General features: G+C 47.7%; 1 pseudogene; it reads right to left on the reverse strand.

The window, feature by feature from the left end:
- On the reverse strand, nt 1,946-3,788 carry CICP22 (capicua transcriptional repressor pseudogene 22; annotated as a pseudogene).

The following is a 19,863-nucleotide window of genomic DNA, read 5'->3' on the forward strand; positions in this document are numbered from 1 at the left end:
CGAATTTTTTATTTTATTTTCCTTATTATTTGGTGTTAAACAGGTTTAATGACGGTCATGGCAACTTTTTGGCACAATGAAAAATATCGCCCATGATCAACGTGTTCTGTTCTGGGGAAGGGGGCAAAGGCAGGGTGAATCACTTTCTTAAAAAGTACAGCTTAAGTTGGGAGTGCAGAGGGAATGGGGAGAAAACCCTCCCACTGCCTGTGTCGAAGTGCAGGAGCCCCCACCCCCATACTCACCTGAGTCCAGCCCCTCTGGGGAAAGAAGGGGTGCATGAACTCCCCCTATTCCACAGGCGCCTCCCTGTGGCCCAAGGCCCTCTTCACACTCCATCTTGTAGCCCCAGCAGGAGCTATTTTCCGAAAAGTGAAAAGCTCTGAAGGTCCCACACTTCATGGTATGTACAGGGGCTCAGAGGAGGGAAACTGCCAAGCTTTCCCCCTGCACAGCAGCAGGGGTAGGGGGTATATACAAGAGGAGCAGGCCTTGGCCAGGCGTGGTGGCTCATGCCTGTAATCCCAGCACTTTGGGAGGTGGAGGCAGGCGGATCACGATGTCAGGAGATCGAAATCAGCCTGGCCAAGATGATGAAGCCCCGTCTGTACTAAAAATACAAAAATTAGCTGGACATGTTAGCGTGCACCTGTAATCCCAGCTACCCAGAAGGCTGAGGCAGGAGAATGGCGTGAACCCAGCAGGAAGAGGTTGCAGTGAGCCAAGATCGCACCACTGCACTCCAGCCTGGGTGACAGAGCAAGACTCTGTCTCAAAAAAAAAAAAAAAAAAAAGAGAAGCAGGCTTTATTCCGTCCCAAACTGAAAGGATTAAATGGCTTTACCCGGGAGAAGATAACCATCCTGCCCTCCATTGCTACCCCCACATAATGTCCATGTTCTCAGGGGGTACTGTGAGTCCTAGGATCTTCTTTGGGGTGGCCCACCTGCCTGTGGTAGTTATGGAGGGACCCAGGTGTTGAGGCAGGGCTGGGGTGCCCCTTCCAGCCAGGCTGTCGAGGCCCCAACTCTGGGGCAGAGGCAGTGGCAGGGCAGCCAGGGTTGCGCCAGAGCCTGAGCAGGGTGAGGTGGGGTCAGGCAGGGCTGGGAGTCAGGGCAGGGGCAGCAGCAGTGGACCCGCTATGCACACATCTTCTTCTTCAAGGTTTGTGTGCAGAACATCCTGCCCATACTGCCCCAGCAGCTTCAGTTGGCACCTGCCCCAGTCCAGCCTCTGGGACCCAGGCAGCGGCTCCCAGCAGCCCTGGACCCACCACCAGCATCTGTTTCACCTGCAGTGGAAGATCCATGAGGTGCCCAGAAGATCATGCAGTCATCAGTCCCACGGAGCAGCCCGCGAGGCTGAGGCTCCTCCCACTGGACTGCCCCCCAACTGGCACCACTGCTGCCCCTGCCCCTACTCTCAGCCTCATGTGACTCTCGGGCAGAGGCAGTGGTAGGGCAGCTTCAGAGTCTGAGCCAGGTGAGGTGGGGTCAGGACCCCCGCAGGGGTGGGAATCAGGGCAGGGGCAGAACAAACCTTGGAGAGGAAGATGTGTGTATAGTGGGCCTGGAGAGCGGCTGTGGCCTAGTGGACAGGAAGAAGCAGTGGGCCTGGAAGAGCTGCATGATCAGGGCCAGCACTGGTCCAGGGCGCGTGCAGTGAAGAGGACAGCGCCTTCTCGGTCTCCAGTTCCCTGAGCCCGTCCTCGGCTTCTTCACCTGTACAGGCAAAGGGGAAGCTGTCCCCATCACACATGGCACACTTGGGCTGCAGATGGAGCATCTTCTCATCCTGCATTTGGGCATGGTGGGGTCCTCCAGTGCGGGATCCATGTCCGTGGGGTTCCCTCTGCCCCGACCCCCAAAGCCCAGTCAGTTTCTCCTCTTCAGGCTCTGCCCCCCGGGTGGCTCAGCCCAGCTCCTGCCTAGGAAAGCCTTAGTGTTGGGAGGGACTGCGATGACTGAGGGGCCTGGTAGCTCCAGGTCGCCCACACTTTCAGGTCTCTTGCACCACAAGGTGGCAGGATCCATTGGGAGGAAACAGGTCGCCTTGGAAGGCGTCCCTGGGCCCCCATCCCCAGGGGTAGGGGCCGTAGGGGGCCCGCTCTGCTGCCCTGACCAGACTCCTGGGCTTTGAAGGCTCCTGGGCCCAGTAAGAAGGAGGTGGGTGCCAAGGTTGAGGAGGAAGCATCCGAGTATGTGTAGGAGGAGGACGGGGTGGGACCATAGACTTTGCCAAAAACTGCAGGTGGATCGGGGGACCCGGGGGACTCAGGATCCAGCAAGGGGCGGCAGGAGTAAAGGAAGAAGGAATGACAGGTGCAAATACCTTCCCACCAAAGCCCTTGTTGCCCTCTGGCTCCTCCCCAGAGCTGTCCCCACTCTCAGTCGGTCACCCACTCCTTGAACTTGAGATCAGTGTCAGTGGTGCTAAAGCCGTCATCAGCAATGACATCATCACCCCCTCCTCCTCATGGATGACCATGTGCTCCTCGTCACTCGCTATGACCTCGCTGGCCATGTGCTGGGAATGAGCAGCTTAGGTGGGCAGCAGCAGGGCTGCCCACTGGTCACCTCCCTCACCAGGGGCTGCAAAGTGGCCTGGAGCTCCATACTGAGTAGAAGGCTTTGGGCCAGAGTATGATGCAGTGCCAGACACCACCTGTGTCAGTTCCTGTAGTGCCCGATGGTCTATTTCCCTGCCATCCAGGCTGTGTACCCCCCTGTGGGAGAAGGCTTGGGCCAGGCTGAGCCAGGTTCCCTGACTGTGTGCAGCCGTTCTGCCCCACAGAAGCTGCTCCTTGGTATCCGAGCTCTGGAGTGTCTGGGCTGCAACTGACAGGAGTTCAGAGGACACCCCAGGGGCAGTGGCAGTGCCCGTCTGTGATATGCTCTGCTCCCACGAGCCCTTGTACACTCCTGCTAGCCCCTGGCTTGTGGGCTTGGCCTCTGAGCTGGACTTCTTTCGGTCCTTGTTGCAAGTGGGCCACCTTCACCTGGAAGGCCAGGTCGTGGTACTTCTGCGTCTCATTGGGCCCCAGGGTGTACCACCGCTCGCTCAGGATCTGGCTGACGGTCCGGTTATCCTGGTTGGGGTGACCCTGGTGCGCCCTGCCAGGATCTGGTGCCACTTGCTGAAGATCATGACCGCCACTCATGGGCCACCGGATGTGGTCCTTGTCCCATTTGTTGGGGCTGCATCCATCCTTCTCAGAAGATGAGTCCTGTTCCTTGTGCAGGGCACTGAGGGACTGGGCCTGACATCATCTGAGTGGTAGAGGCAACTGGGTGTCAGGAGACATAACGGAGAGGAAAGCATCATCATGGTCATTCTCTGTCTCACTGTCCAGCAGGGACTTCCCTGAGGGGCCCAGGGCTCCTCCTTCATGGTGGGAGGTGGGCTTTTACCAGGTTCCACTACCCCCAAAGTGTGTGGGGTTCCGGGCCCTGGGCTTTCAGGGCAGGTGGATCCAGGGGGCTGCCGAAGGTCAGCACTCCCTGTCCCACCTGGTGGACACTCGTGAGCAACAGCTGCTGACTTGGCAGGTTCTTTGCTCTGGTTGGAGGCCACTGAGTGACTGGCAGGTTGCTAGGCCTCACGTGGCTGCAGGGAGGGGTCAGGAAGGGGACAGAGTACCAGGAGAACACAGCCACAGAGCAAGGTTCCACGTTCCTCCACACAAACATGCTGACGCCACCGGAGGCCTCGCTGGACGCAGACATCAGGGGCCTGTGGGCCAAGTACATGGTCTGGGCAGGGGGTTCCTGGCAGGGGCTCACACCTCCTCAGCCCCCTCCTCAGCCAAGGCAGCTTGGACCCACGGAAGGGGGGATGGGAGGGGAGCACGAGACCAGGCCTCAAGTTTTGTTTTTTGTTTTTTGTTTTTTTGTTTTTTTTTGGAGGTGCAGTTTGGCAGTCTGGAGTGCAGTGGTGCGATCTCAGCTCACTGAAACCTCCACTTCCTGGGTTCAAGCAATTCTCCGGCCTCAGCCTCCCAAGTATATGCACCTTTACTGCTGAATATTATATATTTTCTTATGCTTTCATGTGATTAATTAGCATTCTTTTTTTTTTCTTTTTGAGACAGAGTGTTGCTCTGTTGCCCAGGCTGGAGGGCAGTGGTGTGATCTCGGCTCACTGCAACCTCCGCCTCATGGTTTAATTGATTCTCCTGCCTCAGCCCCCTGAGTAGTTGGGATTACAGGCACCCGCCACCATACCTGGCTAATTTTTTGTATTTTTAGAAGGCATGGGTTTTTGCCATGTTGGCCTGGCTGGTCTTGACCTCCTGACCTCAAGTGATCCACTCTCCTCGGCCTCCCAAAATGCTGGGATTACAGGCATGAGCCACCACACCCAGCTGCTTTCTTTCATTTTTACTTGAAAAACTCCGTTAAGCATTTCTTTTAAAGTAGACCTAGTGCTCCTGAATTACCTCAGCTTTGTTTGTCTAGGGAACATGTTATTTATTCTTTCTTTCTGAAGGATAGCTTTGTCAAATATAGTATTAGTTGCTGGCAGTTTTTTTCTTTCAGCACTTTGAATATATTCTTCAATTCTCTCCTGACCTTCAAAGTTTCTTCTGAGAAATCTGCTGATAGTTTAATGAAGATTCTCTTGTTGGTGTCATGCCACTTGTCTCTTGCCTCTTCAACATTTTAAAAAATCTTTGACTTTTGACTATTTGATTATATTGTGATTATATATATTTGGTTTTAACCTCTTTAGGAATCTTTAAGCTTCATGCACTTGGATGTCTAAATCTTTCCCATGATTTAGGCAGTTTCAGCCATCCTTTCTTTAAATAAACTTCCTTCTCCTATCTCTACTTTCCTTCTCAAACTCACATGACAGTGGATTGCCTAATGGTGTCTCGATGGCTTTCTTTTCTCTCTCTTTTTTTTCGAGATGGAGTCTTGCTCTGTCACCCAGGCCAGGGTGCAATGGCGTGGTCTTGGCTCACTGCAGCCTCCCACTTGGGCTCTGCAGCCCAGCCTGTCTTGTAACCACTGCCTCCTCAAAGCGACACCTGGCAGATTCTTCTTCCCTTTGAGGGAGAATCATCGTTGTTGCTTCATCTCTTCTAAGACATTTTGTAGGGCATGGACAAGTTAAACAGAATGTGCTTTCCTCCCTGAGGTCTCGCTGTCCCACAGGCTCCTGGGAGAATGCCACAGGGGCCATGCACTGGTCGAGCTTCTCTGTAGAACCCAGGGGCTTCAGCCCAGAACACAGCATCTAGCCCTAAGCCTAGAGCAGGGAGGGAGTCCCGAACTTCTGCATTCACAGACCACCTCCAGAACTGTTATAACCAAAGGCATCCTGTTCTATTATTTCACTTAAATCAACATGTTATTTTGTTTTCACTCACTCCTGGCTTTCTCCTTGTGCCGAGCCCATGTATCCATGCAGTCATGTTCACAGGCTAGTTATGTTTTCCTTCTTACACATGAAAATAAATGCATAACTGGTAGAAGCTCTTCCGTGTTTCATATAAGCTCTCACACAGGTAAACCCTGGCCTTTGGTAGTAGCCCTGGAAAGATGTTTGCTGGGCATCTGCTCACTATGGCGGGGGTGTCCAAAGAGTGCTGGGGCTCAGCTCAGCAGACAGAGGGGCTCGTTTCCTGCCTCATGCCCAACACCAGAGACTGATGCTGGCCAACTCACAGGTGTGCCTCTTCTGGACAAGGGCCACCACTGACGGGGTTGGCTGCAGGGGCCTCACTAGGGCAGCCAAATGCTTCAAGAATTAACACTCAGGCTGGGCGTGGTGGCCAATGCCTGTAATTCCAGCACTTTGGGAGGCCAAGGCGGGCGGATCACCTGAGCTTGGGAGTTCAAGACCAGCCTCACCAACATGGAGAAACCCCTTCTCTACTAAAAATACAAAATTAGCTGAGCATGGTGGTGCATGCCTATAATCCCAGCTGCTCAGGAGGCTGGGGCAGGAGAATTACTTGAACCCAGGAGGTGGAGGTTGCAGTGAGCCTAGATCATACCATTACACTCCAGCCTGAGCGACAGAGGGAAACTCCGTCTCGAAAAAAAAGAATTAACACTCAGGCCAGATGTGGTGGCCAAAGCCTGTAATCCCAGCACTTTGAGAGGCTGAGGTGGGGGGGTCACTTGAGGCCAGGAGTTTCAGACCATCCTGGCCAACATGGCGAAACCCCGCCTCTGCTAAAAATACAAAAATTAGCTGGGCATGGTGGCGCATGCCTCTAGTCCCAGCTACTTGGGAGGTTGAGGCAGGAGAATTCCTTGAATCTGGGAGGCAGAGGTTGCAGTGAGCTGAGATCACATCACTGCACTCCAGCCTGGGTGACACAGTGACACCCTGTCTCAAAAAAAAAAAGAACACTCACTCCCAGGGCATGCTCCCTACATGTAACCAGGCTGCTCTCCCTCTGCAAGCTTGCACACTGACCCCTGGGCTCCCTTCGTGGGCACAGGCCAAGAGAAAGTTTGTGGCCTGAAAGAGCACTGGCTTGGGAACAGGCCACCCAGATCTCAGACCTATCTCTGTACTCAATAGCGTGAACAAGTTAGTAACCCTCAGCCTTGATGTTCTCATCTGGAGCAATTTTTTAAAATTTTTTATTGGCGGGGCATGGTGGGCCATGCCTGTAATCCCAAGCACTTTGGGAGGCAGAAGCGGGTGGATCTCCTGAGGTCAGAAGTTTGAGACCAGCCTGGCTAACGTGGCGAAACCTTGTCTCTACTAAAAATACAAAATTAGCCGGGTGTGGTGGTGTGCACCTGTAGTCCCAGCTATTCTGGAGGCTGAGGCAGGAGAAATGCTTCAACCTGGGAGGTGGAGGTTGCCAAGATCATGCCATTGCACCCCAGCCTGGGCAACAAGAGCAAAACTCCATCTCAAAAAAAAAAAAAGACTATATATATATATATATATATGGCCTCGTTGTAATTCCTCATGTCCTAGCATGCTTCTGTTTGGATGTGTTTGGAGGGGTGTTACCTGGATGAAACTCTGGGAGATGCCTCTGCTTTTTGGGCTGCCCGTGTATAAATCTTTCCATAAGGGGAGCACTCAGTAGTGTTTATTCACCTCCTCCACCCCAACCCTCCCAACCAATTTTCATTCCTCTTTTCTTCCTTTTCTCTGCTCTCACTTGGAGGGTGCCTGCCAAGTGTAGGCACAATCAGAACACTCCGGGCAAAGATGATTTCCCTTTTCTTTGGATAGACTCACTGGCAGAGATAAAATATATTCACTAGATTCAAAAAGATATTTGTGCACCCATGTTCATAGCAGCATTACTCACAATAGCCAAAAGGGGGAAGGAACCAAGTGTCCATCAACAGAAGAATGAATGACAAGATGTGGTCTATCTAGACAATGGAAGATTCTTCAGCCTTAAAAAGGATGGCAGGCTGGGCGCGGTGGTTCACATCTGTAATCCCAGCACTTCGGGAAGCCAAGGCAGGCAGATCACTTGAGGTCAGGAGTTTGAGTCCAGCCTTGCCAACATGGTGAAATCCCACCTCTACTAAAAATACAAAAATTAGCCATTAACCAGGTGTGGTAGTACACGCCTGTAATCCCAGCCACTCAGGAGGCTGACACAGGAGAATCGCTTGAACCCAGGAGACAGAGGTTGCAGTTTGCCAAGATCATGCCACTTCACTCCAGCCTGGGGGACAGAGCTAGACTTCATCTCAGAGAAAGACTCTGTCAAAAAAAAAAAAGAAAAGAAAGAAAGAAAGTATCCAGCCTGGGCAACCTGGAGAAACTCCGTCTCTACTAAAAATAGAAAAATTAGCTGGGTGTGGTGGGCACCTGTGGTCCCAGCTACTTGAGAAACTGAGGTGGAAGGATCACCTGAGCCCGGGATGCAGAGGTTGCAGTGAGCTGAGATCGCACCAGGCCACTGCACTCCAGCCTGGGCCACAGAGCAAGACCCTGACTCAAAAACAAAACAAAACAAAAAAACTAGAAAGTGAGTGATATGGATGTGGAATTGCTGCAGCTGTCCTGGAGACATGCCCTTTTGGAGGGAGACCTATGTCAGGAGACTGAATTCTTCATTGGCTGCAACCCCCACTGCTAGGAGGGGCCCACCTGGAAGTCCCCATGCTGCTACCCTGCAATTCCATACTTGGGCACAGTAAGCACAGAATCAGAGATGGGACAAAGGACAGCATGGCACACTGGGGAGCCCTGAGCCTTTCTGATGGTTACCCTGTCCCCAGAGGCCCCTTTCCTGAGGGCACACCCAGGTGTGAACTTCACCCAGCACAGGCCAGCCCCTCCAGGGCAACCCAAGCCCCTCCCTACCCTGCTAGAGAGATAAATGGTGGAAATGGGGAATTGAATGGAGAGCTGAGGGGACCGGGATGGGGAGAGGGGAGGGAGGAGGCTGGGCTGATAAGTAAGAATTGCAGGGACTAAGGACATTTTCCAAGAAATGTTCTCCTAACTTTAATGTAGTTTAGGTAACAAAATAATATATGAAGTATCAATATTGACATCCTCAAAGAGGAGGAAGCTGCTCATCAGAGAGCTAGTATAACTGCACGAGGCTGCACAGCAGAGACAGGATCAAAGCAGGTCCAGTGAAAACTCTATAGGCCTCCACTACAGACCCACTTCAGAAATCCACATTCTAGAATGTTCCAGAACCGATCATGTAACACAGGTGCCAAAGTACAACTGAAAAATAAACTTTAATGTCTTGAGCTCTGCCTTTTTTTTTTTTTTGAAACAGGATCTCACTCTGTTGCCTCGGCTTGAGTACAGTGATGCAAACACGGCTCACTACAGCTTTGATAATCTCCTGGGCTCAAGCAGCCTTCCTACCTCAGCCTCCCGAGTAGCTGGGACTCCAAGCATGCACCACCACACCTGGCTAATTTTTAAAATTTTTTGTAAAGATGGGGTTTTGCCCTGTTGCTCAGGCTGGTCTCGAACTCCTGACCTTGTGAACCACCCGTCTTGGCCTCCCAAAGTGCTGGGATTACAGGTATGAGCCACTGTACCCAACGCTGTTTGATTTTTTTTTACAATAAGCCTATGATACTTTTATAATATGAATGAATATATGTTTTTAAAATTCATTTTTCTAAAAAGATAGGCTGAATCCATAAAAGAAAAAAATAATGGACCAAAACTTAGAGAAAAGATAAGTACTGGCTGGGACTCAGGACTTTGGCCAGCCCTGGGCTGATATGTAGTTTGAGCAAACCACTGCCCTTCCCAGAGACTCGCCTGTGAAATGGGGGTGGGCAGAAGTGGGCAGGGCAGCAACTAAGGATTGAGCTGAACTGATGACATCTCAGGCTCTTCCCAGCCTTAGCAGCTCGAGATTTTGAGGCAATCTGGATTCCCACACCTGGTTAGAGAAGCAGATTAAGGAAATGATCTGGAGTTTGGAGTTCTCTCCCTAAGAGGATAAACACCACAATATTGATAGTCCAGGCAACAAGGCCAAATTCAACCCAGAAGAATGTTTTAGATCACACCATCTCTCATCAATCCCTAATTGAACTGGAGGTATTTAACTCTTTCTCTGCCGTTTTTTATCTTCCATTCTAAATCAGTCCTTCTCAAACTAAAATGTGCATACAAATCACCTGTGAATCTTGTTAATATGAAAATGCTCAATCAACAGGTCTGAAGTAGGACCTGAAATTCTGCAATCCTAACAAGCCCCCAGGAGATGTCAGTGCTGCTGGTCCCCAGACCACTATTTAAATATCAAGTCTCAGCTGGGCACAGTGGCTCATGCCTGTAATCCCAACATTTTGGGTGACCAAGGCAGGAGGATTATTTGAGCCCAGGAGTTCCAGACCAGCCTGGGGAACATTAGTGAGACTCTGTCTCTACAAAAAATACAAAAATTAGCCAGGTTCGGTGGCATGTACCTGTAGTCTCAGCTACTCAGAAGGTGGGAAGATCTGCTGAGCCTAAGAGTTCGAGGCTGCAGTGAGCTGTGATCGCATCACTGCACGCCAGTCTGAGCTACAGAGTAAGACCCCGTCTCAAAAGGAAAAAAAAAGTGACAAAGCAGCATCCCTTTGTCACAGAGAAAACCTGGAAACTCCATTGTACTTCACGGAATTACTAAAAAATGACACCAGACCATACAGGCTGTCTTCCCATTAACTGTTTTTCTGTTTGTTTTTATTTTTGAGATGAAATCTGGTTCTGTCGCCCAGGCTAGAGTGCAGTGTCTCAATCTCAGCTCACTGCAACCTCACCGCCTCCCTGGTTCAAGCGATTCTTCTGCCTCAGCCTCCCAAGTAGCTGGGATTACAGGCACACACTACCACACCTAATTTTTGTACTTTTAGTTGAGACAGGGTTTCACTATGTTGGCCAGGCTGGCCTTGAACTCCTGACCTCAGGTGATCTGCCTGCCTTGGCCTCCCAAAGTGCTGGGATTATAGGTGTGAGCCACTGCACCCGGGCCCTATTAACCTGTGACCTGTCATTTCTCTCTTGTCTTTCATTACTACTTGCTTGTTGTCTACCATCTGTCCCCTCCACTGCAATGAAAATCCTTTGAAGGCAAGGACATTGCTGGGTCCCTAGCTTCTGAGTACATATTTAACTTTTTTTTTTTTAGAGATTAAGTCTCACTCTGTCGCCCAAGCTGGAGTGCAGTGGCACTATCTCGGCTCACTGCAAGCTCTACCTCCCGGGTTCACACCATTCTCCTGCCTCAGCCTCTGGGACTACAGGCGCATCCGCCACCACACCCAGCTAATTTTTGTATTTTTAGTAGAGACAGGGTTTCACCATATTAGCCAGGATGGTCTTGATCTCCTGACCTCGTGATCCACCCGCCTCGGCCTCCTAAATTGCTGGGATTACAGGCGTGAGCCACTGTGCCTGGCTGCTTCTGAGTACACATTTAAGGGCTAACTAAACATTTGTTGGATGAATGAACCTCAAAATTTTGAGGTAGTAAATAAAAAAGCAAGTGACAGAAGGGTATGCAGTTTTTTTGTTTGTTTGTTTGAGACGGAGTCTTGCTCTGTCACCCAGGCTGGAGTACAGTGGTGTGATCTTGGCTCACTGCAACCTCCACCTCCTGGGTTCAAGTGATTCTCCTGCCTCAGCCTCCCAAATAGCCAGGATTACAGTCGTGTGCCACCACACCTGGCTAATTTGTATATTTTTAGTAGAGATGGAGTTTTGCTGTGTTGGCCAGGCTGGTCTCAAACTCCCGAACTCAAATGATCTGCCCATCCTTAACCTCCCAAAGTGCTGGGATTACAGGCATGAGCCACTGCGCCCAGCCCCATTTTTGTTTTAAAAAGAGTTTGAGGTCGGGTGCGGTGGCTCACACCTCTAGTTCTTTGAGAGAACTACTTGAGGCCAGGTGTTCCAGACCAGCCTGGGTGGGGAACATAGTGAGGCCCTGACTGAAAAAGTTATTTTTTTAATTAAAGGAAAAAGGGTCAGGTGCAGTGGCAGCAACTGCCGTTTTTTCATATGTACATGCATTTGTTTTGTTTTGTTATGCACAGTGCCTGGTCATAATATATCTATATCTGTATCTATATTTTTTGAGACGGAGTCTTGCTCTGTCGCCCAGGCTGGAGTTCAATGGCGTGATCTTGGTTCACTGCAACCTCTGCCACCCGGGTTCAAGCAATTCTCCTGCCTCAGCCCCCCAAGCAGCTGGGACCACAGGCATGTATCACCATGCCCAGCTAATTTTTTGTATTTTTAAGTAGAGATGGGGTTTCGCCATGCTGGCCAGGCTGGTCTCAAACTCCTGACCTTGTGATCCACTCGCCTCACCCTCCCAAAGTGTTGGGATTACAGGCGTGAGCCACCGCGCCCGGCCATAATATATTTTTTAAAGAATAATGCCAGTGTGGTGGCTCACACCTATAATCCCAGCACTTTGGGAGGCCAACATGGGTGGATTGCTTGAGATTAAGAGTTTAAGACCAGCCTGGGCAACATCGTGAAACCCTGTCTCTATAGAAAATACAAAAAGTTAGCTGCGGCTAGGCCAGGTGGCTCACACCTTTAATCCCAGCGCTTTGGGAGACTGAGGTGGGTAGATCATCTGAGGTGGGAATTCAAGACCAGCCTGGCTAAGATGGTGAAACCCTGTCGGTACTAAAAATATAAAATTAGCTGGGAGTGGTGGCGCGCTGGGTAATCCCAGCTACTTGGAAGGCTGAGACAGGAGAATCCCAGGAAGGGCTACAACCTACATTAAATAATAATAAAAAAGAAAGAGAAACTAAATTCCTTCTGTTTCCACATCCAAAACAAAGGTCATTGTGAATGGGATTCTTGCTAACTTGAGAAGGACATTACTCTCAGAGTTTCTCACCAGGATTTCTGTAACTTTCTTCCTAAATGCTCACACAGTCTCACATTCCACTCCCTCTCCCCAACCCCACAAAACCACTAGCAAAAGCATTATCCATTTACAGTGAAATGATTTTACCTAGAAGTAAATAGAATTGTTTCATTCCCCTAATTAAAATCCTTCAATGGCTCCTCTCGCTGCTATGAGAATACATATAATTAAAGCCCCTCTTTATGACTAATAAGGGCCTTCAGCTCTGATCTCTCTGTAACTTTCCAGACTCACCCATGTGTGGCATCCCCACGTACCCCCTTTCAGCTGTTCTGATTTACACATAGCTCCTGCATGTCCCATATGCTCTGACACCTCTGTGCCATTCAGGATGCTTATCTTTATCTGGAATGTCCTTATCCTCTTCTCCAGTTCACTCCGATTTGTCTGCCAAGACTCAGTTCTAGCTCTACCTTGTAATATAAGCATGTCCTGATGCCCCCTCCTAGGGTAAGTTAGGTGCTTTTCTCAGCTCCTTCCGGCAGAGAAATCTTCAAAGCCAACAGAGTTAAAGTATGATTTTTGGTAAGGAAAGTTATTAATTTCAGGCCAATAGACAATGAACAAGTGTCAAATATTTTATTTAACTCATTAACTGATGAGGGAACCAGTAAGATCTAAACACTGGTCCTAGGGTCATTTGAGAAGCTGAATGTATATAGGCAATTTAATTGATTGATGGATTAGATACAGAACTGGTTAATGTGTATCTGGTCCATAAGCCTTTGGGTTTTATGTTCTACCAGATAGGAGTTATTTGCATTCTATTGAATAAAAATTTTCATGGTAACCTTTGCTGCTACAGAGTTGTAAAATAGAAAATCAACAGAAGGTCACATGCACCACTGTTCTGAAAAACACCATGTAATTTGAGGCCTCTTTTCAATTGTTGGATAATTTTTCTAACAAAAGACAGAGCTTTTGGTGGGAGTGGAAGTTCACATTTAACATGCAGAAGACTACCAAGGTTTTACCAAGCAAGTCTTATTTTGGCATAAAAATATGACATGCTGGTAGAAAAATGGATTAAACATATGGACTGACAAATCAGAATAAATAAAAATGACAAATAAACATACTGAAACTGTTCACTCTTGCAAAGACTTTAAGAAATCCTAGTGAAAACAGTAAACGATCTCCCCTTACAAGTTAATAAAAACAGGCTTAGATGATGCTATCCACTATTAGCAAGACTTGGAGGGAAAGAAACACTTCCATAATTAGCATATGGGAATATAAACTGAGAACAGCTTCCTGGACCTGCAGCTCATATGCCAGTCCTTCGTGCTCTTGTCCATTGTGTTTTACTGCACAGGACTGCACAAGAGTAGAAAAATGTCAGAGATAGAACCCAAAGAACCTCCATCTGCCCTAGAACCTGCAACTTATGCTAGGACCACCATTGTATTACTCCCAAGTCTGGTAAGGCAGAGAGGTCCCCAAAGCATTCATATTCTGCTTCTAATTTTAAAAAATCATCCAGTCGGCCGGGCGCGGTGGCTCACGCCTGTAATCCCAGCACTTTGGGAGGCCGAGGCGGGCGGATCACGAGGTCAGGAGATCGAGACCATCCTGGCTAACACGGTGAAACCCCGTCTCTACTAAAAATACAAAAAATTAGCCGGGCGTGGTGGCGGGCGCCTGTAGTCCCAGCTACTCGGGAGGCTGAGGCAGGAGAATGGCGTGAACCCGGGAGGCGGAGCTTGCAGTGAGCCGAGATCGCGCCACTGCACTCCAGCCTGGGCGACAGAGCGAGACTCCGTCTCAAAAAAAAAAAAAAAAAAAAAAAAAAAAAAATCATCCAGTCATACCCTCCGGGGGAGCCACTGTTGAAAAAGACACAAAATGAGAAGGTTTGCCATGTCTTGAAATCAGGCTAGTGCTGTTGCCTTGGTGCCCTTCATTGTTTATTTTGTGATCTTTTGCCTTATTGTAGCCTCCTCCCCAATTCCATCTCCCTTCTCTCCTCATTCTGCTACACACACACACACACACACACACACGCACGCACGCACGCACACACACACACACACACACACAGAGATCCGGTAAACTCATTCACATAATGCTTCCTGATTTGTGTTACTGCTTGCAAGGGTGTTTTCATTTCAAAGGAAAATTTCTGTTTATCCCATATTTGGGCAATATGTAACCAAAATCTCTGTTGATAGAATTCAAACCTTCTTTGGACAGGGAAGGAAAAACAAAGAAAAAGACTGACACAGGAAGTAAATGCTTTGGAGACCAAGCACCTAAGTGATGTACTTTCACAAATACAAGGTACGGTGAAGAAATGCAAAGTTGTGGCCGAGAGTGGTGTCTCAGGCCTGTAATCCCAGCACTTTGGGAGGCCCAGGCAGGCAGATTATGAGGTCAGGAGATCGAGACCATCCTGGCTAACATAGTGAAACCCCATCTCTACTAAAAATACAAAAAATTAGCTAGGTGTGGTGGCAGGCGCCTGTAGTCCCAGCTACTCGGGAAGCTAAGGCAGGAGAATCGCTTGAACCTGGAAGGCAGAAGTTGCAGTGAGCCCAGATCAGGCCACTGCACTCCAGCCTGGGCAACAGAGTGAAACTCCATCTCAAAACAAAAAAAAAAAGAAAAGAAAGAAATGCAAAGTTGTATTCTTGTCTTTGGGAGGCTTTGCTCATGAGTCCTAACGGATAATAATGTTTTCCTGACCAAACTGTGAAAAAAGTTGTTGTCTCAGGAAAACACCATCCTTTAAGCATAGACTTGAAGAGGAATTTATTGTTTTCCCATTATCACACTGAGTACTGAGGATACCGAGTTTAGTCCTTTGAACCTAGAATTCTGAGAAATTTAGGAGTATCAGAAGTGAACTAAAAATAATTTTAAAAACATTAAAAGCTAACATTTATTAAGTGCTTACTACATTCTGGATATTCTCAGTAATTTTACATACATTATTAACTCATTCCTAGCTTGGACTAAAGAGCAACAACACTATTAAGCATATATTATGACTATCTTCATTTTACAGAAGAGGAAACTAAAACACAGAAACCTTGTTCAAGGTCACACAGCTGGTGAATGTGAACCCAGTCTACCATTAGGAAGAGAAATTTATGTCCAGTTTATACACACACACACACACACACACACACACACACATACACATATATATATATACTATTATAGTTGAACTACCAGCGCAGACATTCTGGAATTTGCTTTGCTTTGGGATCTAAACTCAAGAGGTCTCCTGGATTCAGTAGCACACATAGAAGGCACTGGTCAAGGACTGGAACAAGTCCCTGGACCCACACGTTATCACTGTCACTGACAAGAACATGCCACTTCCTTCAAAGCCCCACTGCCTTCCACCATACATGATATCTTAGGCAGCACATGGGCCAGATAACACAGCACAGCTCGGCAGAGCAGAGATGAGCTTTGAGGCTGGAAAGGGCTGGTGCGATAAGAAATTGCAAGAAAAGGAGCTGAGGTAATAAGTCTTGTCCAACAGGTGGAGCGAGGTGTTGCAGTCTGCGTGGTGCAAGGAAATCTACAGAGAATTGCCGAGACCAGCTCGGTCAGGGAGACTCTAACCCAGCGGCGCTAGAGGAATTAGACACACACACAGAAATATGGAGGTGTGAAGTGGGAAATCAGGGGTCTCACAGCCTTCAGAGCCGAAAGCCCCGAACAGAGATTTACTCACATATTCATTAACAGCAAACCAGTCATTAACATTGTTTCTATAGATATTAAATTAACTAAAAGTATCCCTTATGGGAAAGGAAGGGATGGGTCGAATTAAAGGAATAGGTTAGACTAGTTAACTGCAGCAGGAGGATGTCCCTAAGGCACAGATCACTCATGCTATTGTCTGTGGCTTAAGAATGCCTTTAAGCAATTTTCCGCCCTGGGATGGCCAGGTTTTCTTTGCCCTCATTCCGGTAAACCCACAACCTTCCAGTGTGGGCGTTAGGGCAATTATGAACATGTTACAGTGCTGCAGAGGTTTTGTTTATGGCCAGTTCTGGGGGCAGTATATGGTCAGATTTTGGGAGTCCTGCTCCCAACAGAGAATAATGCTACACCAATAGTGACAGAGACCCATAATTCAGGCAGAAGTATTTCTATTTCACTTTGTCTTCTTCTCAAATGGCTGCTGCAAATATATTGTCATAGTTATGTTTACTTTTGTCTTCTTGCCAACAACTGCAGCTCTGGGGTGAGTACTTCTAGCTGGAATGGCAGTGCCTGGCAAACTCTTTGCAAGTGCATGACTGGCATCACTTCTGAGTTGCCTCTGCACCTCCAGAGCTCTGGGCATAGCTGAAGAGTACAAACATCAACAGTCTTGTCCCCAGGCTCTCCAGAGGCAGCATCTGAAAAGTGTGATCTGGTAGTCCACAAGCTTCCCATGAGCATCCCTGGAGACTCCCCAGTTGTAAATCATGACCCGCTGACAAGTTGGATGACTGCCAGAGTGTCTGGGAGTGGGGAGAAACAAATACTGTTTAATTTTTCAGAATGCAAAGGGGGAAGTCTGATTCACTGGTAGATAGGGGACTGGTTATGGTGGTTGATGCTTTCTGGCATTCTGTAGTTGTAAATGGATGTTTCTAGAAATAGGAATCATATTAAGCAACACACACACACTCACACCCCTCATGTGGACTAAGCAACACACACACACAACCATGGAAGAACAATTTGTAGAAGGAGAGCATTGAACCTTGCTTCTCAGGAAGGAAGGAAGGGAGGAAGAGGGGAAGGGAGGAAGGAAGGGAAGGGAGGGGAGGGGATAGAGAGAGGTAGCGGGGTTGTGGGGCAGGGAGGGAGAGAAGGAGGGAGGGGAGACGAAGGAAAAAAAGAAAGAAAAGAAAATCTTTTCCGCTGGGCACAGTGGCTCAGGCCTGTAATCCCAGCTCTTTGGGAGGCCCAGAGGGGTGGATCACGAGGTCAGGAAATCAAGACCATCCTGGCTAACAGGGTGAAACCCCCTCTCTACTAAAAATACAAAAAATTAGCCGGGCTTGGCGGCATGCGCCTGTAGTCCCAGCTGCTGGGGAGGCTGAGGCAGGAGAATGACGTGAACCTGGGAGGCAGAGCTTGCAGTGAGCTGAGATCGTGCCACTGCACTCCAGCCTGGGTGACAGAGCGCGACTCCGTCAGAAAGAAAGAAAGAAAGAAAAGAAAGAAGGAAAGAAAGGATGAAAATCGTTTTAAGAGAAGCTTGCTGTAATTTTTCAAGAAAACAGCTAGCTTCGCCTGTGAACGTTTTAATTCTTAAAAAGTTTTGTCAATGAAGGGAAAAGCAAAGCAAAAGGAAGAGAGAGAGAGATGGGGGTGATTTCACAATTGTGTTTTCATTCCAACCAGATTAAAAGAGAGTATTACTGGCTGGGCGCGGTGGCTCACGCCTGTAATCCCAGCACTTTGGGAGGCCGAGGCCGGTGGATCACGAGGTGAGGAGATCGAGTCCATCCTGGCTAACACGGTGAAACCCCGTCTCTACCAAAAAAAAAAAAAAAAAAAAAAAAAAAAAAAAAAAAAAAAAAAAAAAAAAAAAAAAAATTAGCCGGGAGTGGTGGCAGGAGTCTGTAGTCCCAGCTAGTCCGGAGGCTGAGGCAGGAGAATGGCGTGAACCCGGGAGGCGGAGCTTGCAGTAAGCGGAGATCGCGCCACACTGCACTCCAGCCTGGGTGACAGAGAGAGACTCTGTCTCAAAAAAAAAAAAAAAAAAAAAAAAGAGTATTACTTTCAGCATCTAAAAAAATCCAAGTTTAATTCCTACAATGACATTGTTCTGTTTGCCTTATCCACCAAGCACTAATGAAGTGAGAGATAATTAGGACACCAGAAAGGGACTCTTTTTGAACAGAAAAAAGAAATTCTGATCTGGATACTGGAGTGGGCCAAAGAAAGAGATTTTAGATTCTTTATAAATCATCAAAAAGAAAAGAGAGCATTATCTACCCTGAATGGCTCAAACATTTATTTGAATCATATTTTTTTCTCTCCAGATATACTCCAAGGTATTTATTTATTTATTTATCTATTTATTTATTTACTTATTGAGACAGGGTCACGCTCTGTTGCCCAGGCTGGAGTGCAGTGGTGTGACTGCAGCCTCAAACTCATGGGCTCAAGGGGTCCTTCCACCTCAGCCTCCCAAGTAGCTAGGACTACAGGTGTATGCTGCCACACCTTACTATGCCCCACTAATTTTTTATTTTTTTATGTTTTGTAGAGACAAGGTCTCACTGTGTTGCCCAGGCTGGTCTCAACTTCTGAGCTCAAGTGATCCTCCCACCTCAGGCTCCTAAATTGCTGGGATTACAGACATGAGCCACGGTGCTCAGCCTATTTTTATTTTTTTAGAGACCATGTCTTGCTGTGTTTCTCAGACTGGAGTGCATGGCTATTTGGAGGCATTGTTGCCTCATCAGTGGCACTGCTGCCTCCAACTTCTGGGCTCAAGCTATCCTCTCACCTCTGCTTCCCGAGTAGCTGGGACTACAGGTGTGAACATTATGCCTGGCCCATATGCTTTTGGAGATCATGCTGCCTTTTAGAAACATTTTTTTTTTTGAGATGGTGTCTCTGTCACCCAGGCTGGAGGACAGTGGCGTGATCTCGGCCTCACTGCAAACTCTGCCTCCCAGGAGACCTGCTTTGGGGCTACACATGTGCTCATTCTTCGAGTATGCCCAGGTTCTAGAACATTAGTTTCCTTGGGTCCTCTTTTAAATAGCCTGAGTCCCGATGTTCTGAATTTTACGTACAAAGAAAATGTTTCTACATTTTAGAAAATCACACAGGGATGTCCAAATTTAGTACTGCAATGTAATGATGCATTCTACAACACAACTACTATCAGCATGCTTCCAGTTTAGCACCAAAAAGTTGGTATTGACATAATCTCAGGAAAAAAGAACAATAATGAACTTTAAGTGAAAGATTTATCTTTCTGAAAAATTGATATTATTCCATGTCTGTTTTTTTTCCTTGTGGCATCTATGGATGGAAACACTTTCTACATCTGGAATCCATCTACAAAATGTTTCTGAAAAAGCGTTTTTCTGAAGGCTGCCATCCAATCCTGCTATCTCAATGAAATGTCTCTTCCAGTACAGCCTTTCAGGTCTCACACAAAATGCCCTAGATTATTCTTCAGGGGATATTGATGCTTTTTAATGATTCTCACCAATGTGTAGAATTGTTTGCCACTGTAGGCAATTATCTCCAGAGAAGATATTCCTGAGATAATCCAGTGTTTCATATGGTGAGTATTTATACTTCTATCTATTTATTTTATCTCAAAGCATTTTTGGCTGTATGTCATTAATGTTTCATAATAATTATAGCAATACATGTATGTAACTTACTAATTTATACATATAAACATCCATCCACATAGATGTGAATATTTGGTGGTATATACTCAAATTTTTTTGCTAAAGGGACACTGAAGAACTTCGCTACAACCTTTTTAGTTTTTTAGGATATATGTATTTATACTTACTTGA

This window comes from Homo sapiens, chromosome 7 (assembly GCF_000001405.40).
Source record: "Homo sapiens chromosome 7, GRCh38.p14 Primary Assembly".
In the NCBI taxonomy this organism is placed as follows: Eukaryota; Metazoa; Chordata; class Mammalia; order Primates; family Hominidae; genus Homo; species Homo sapiens.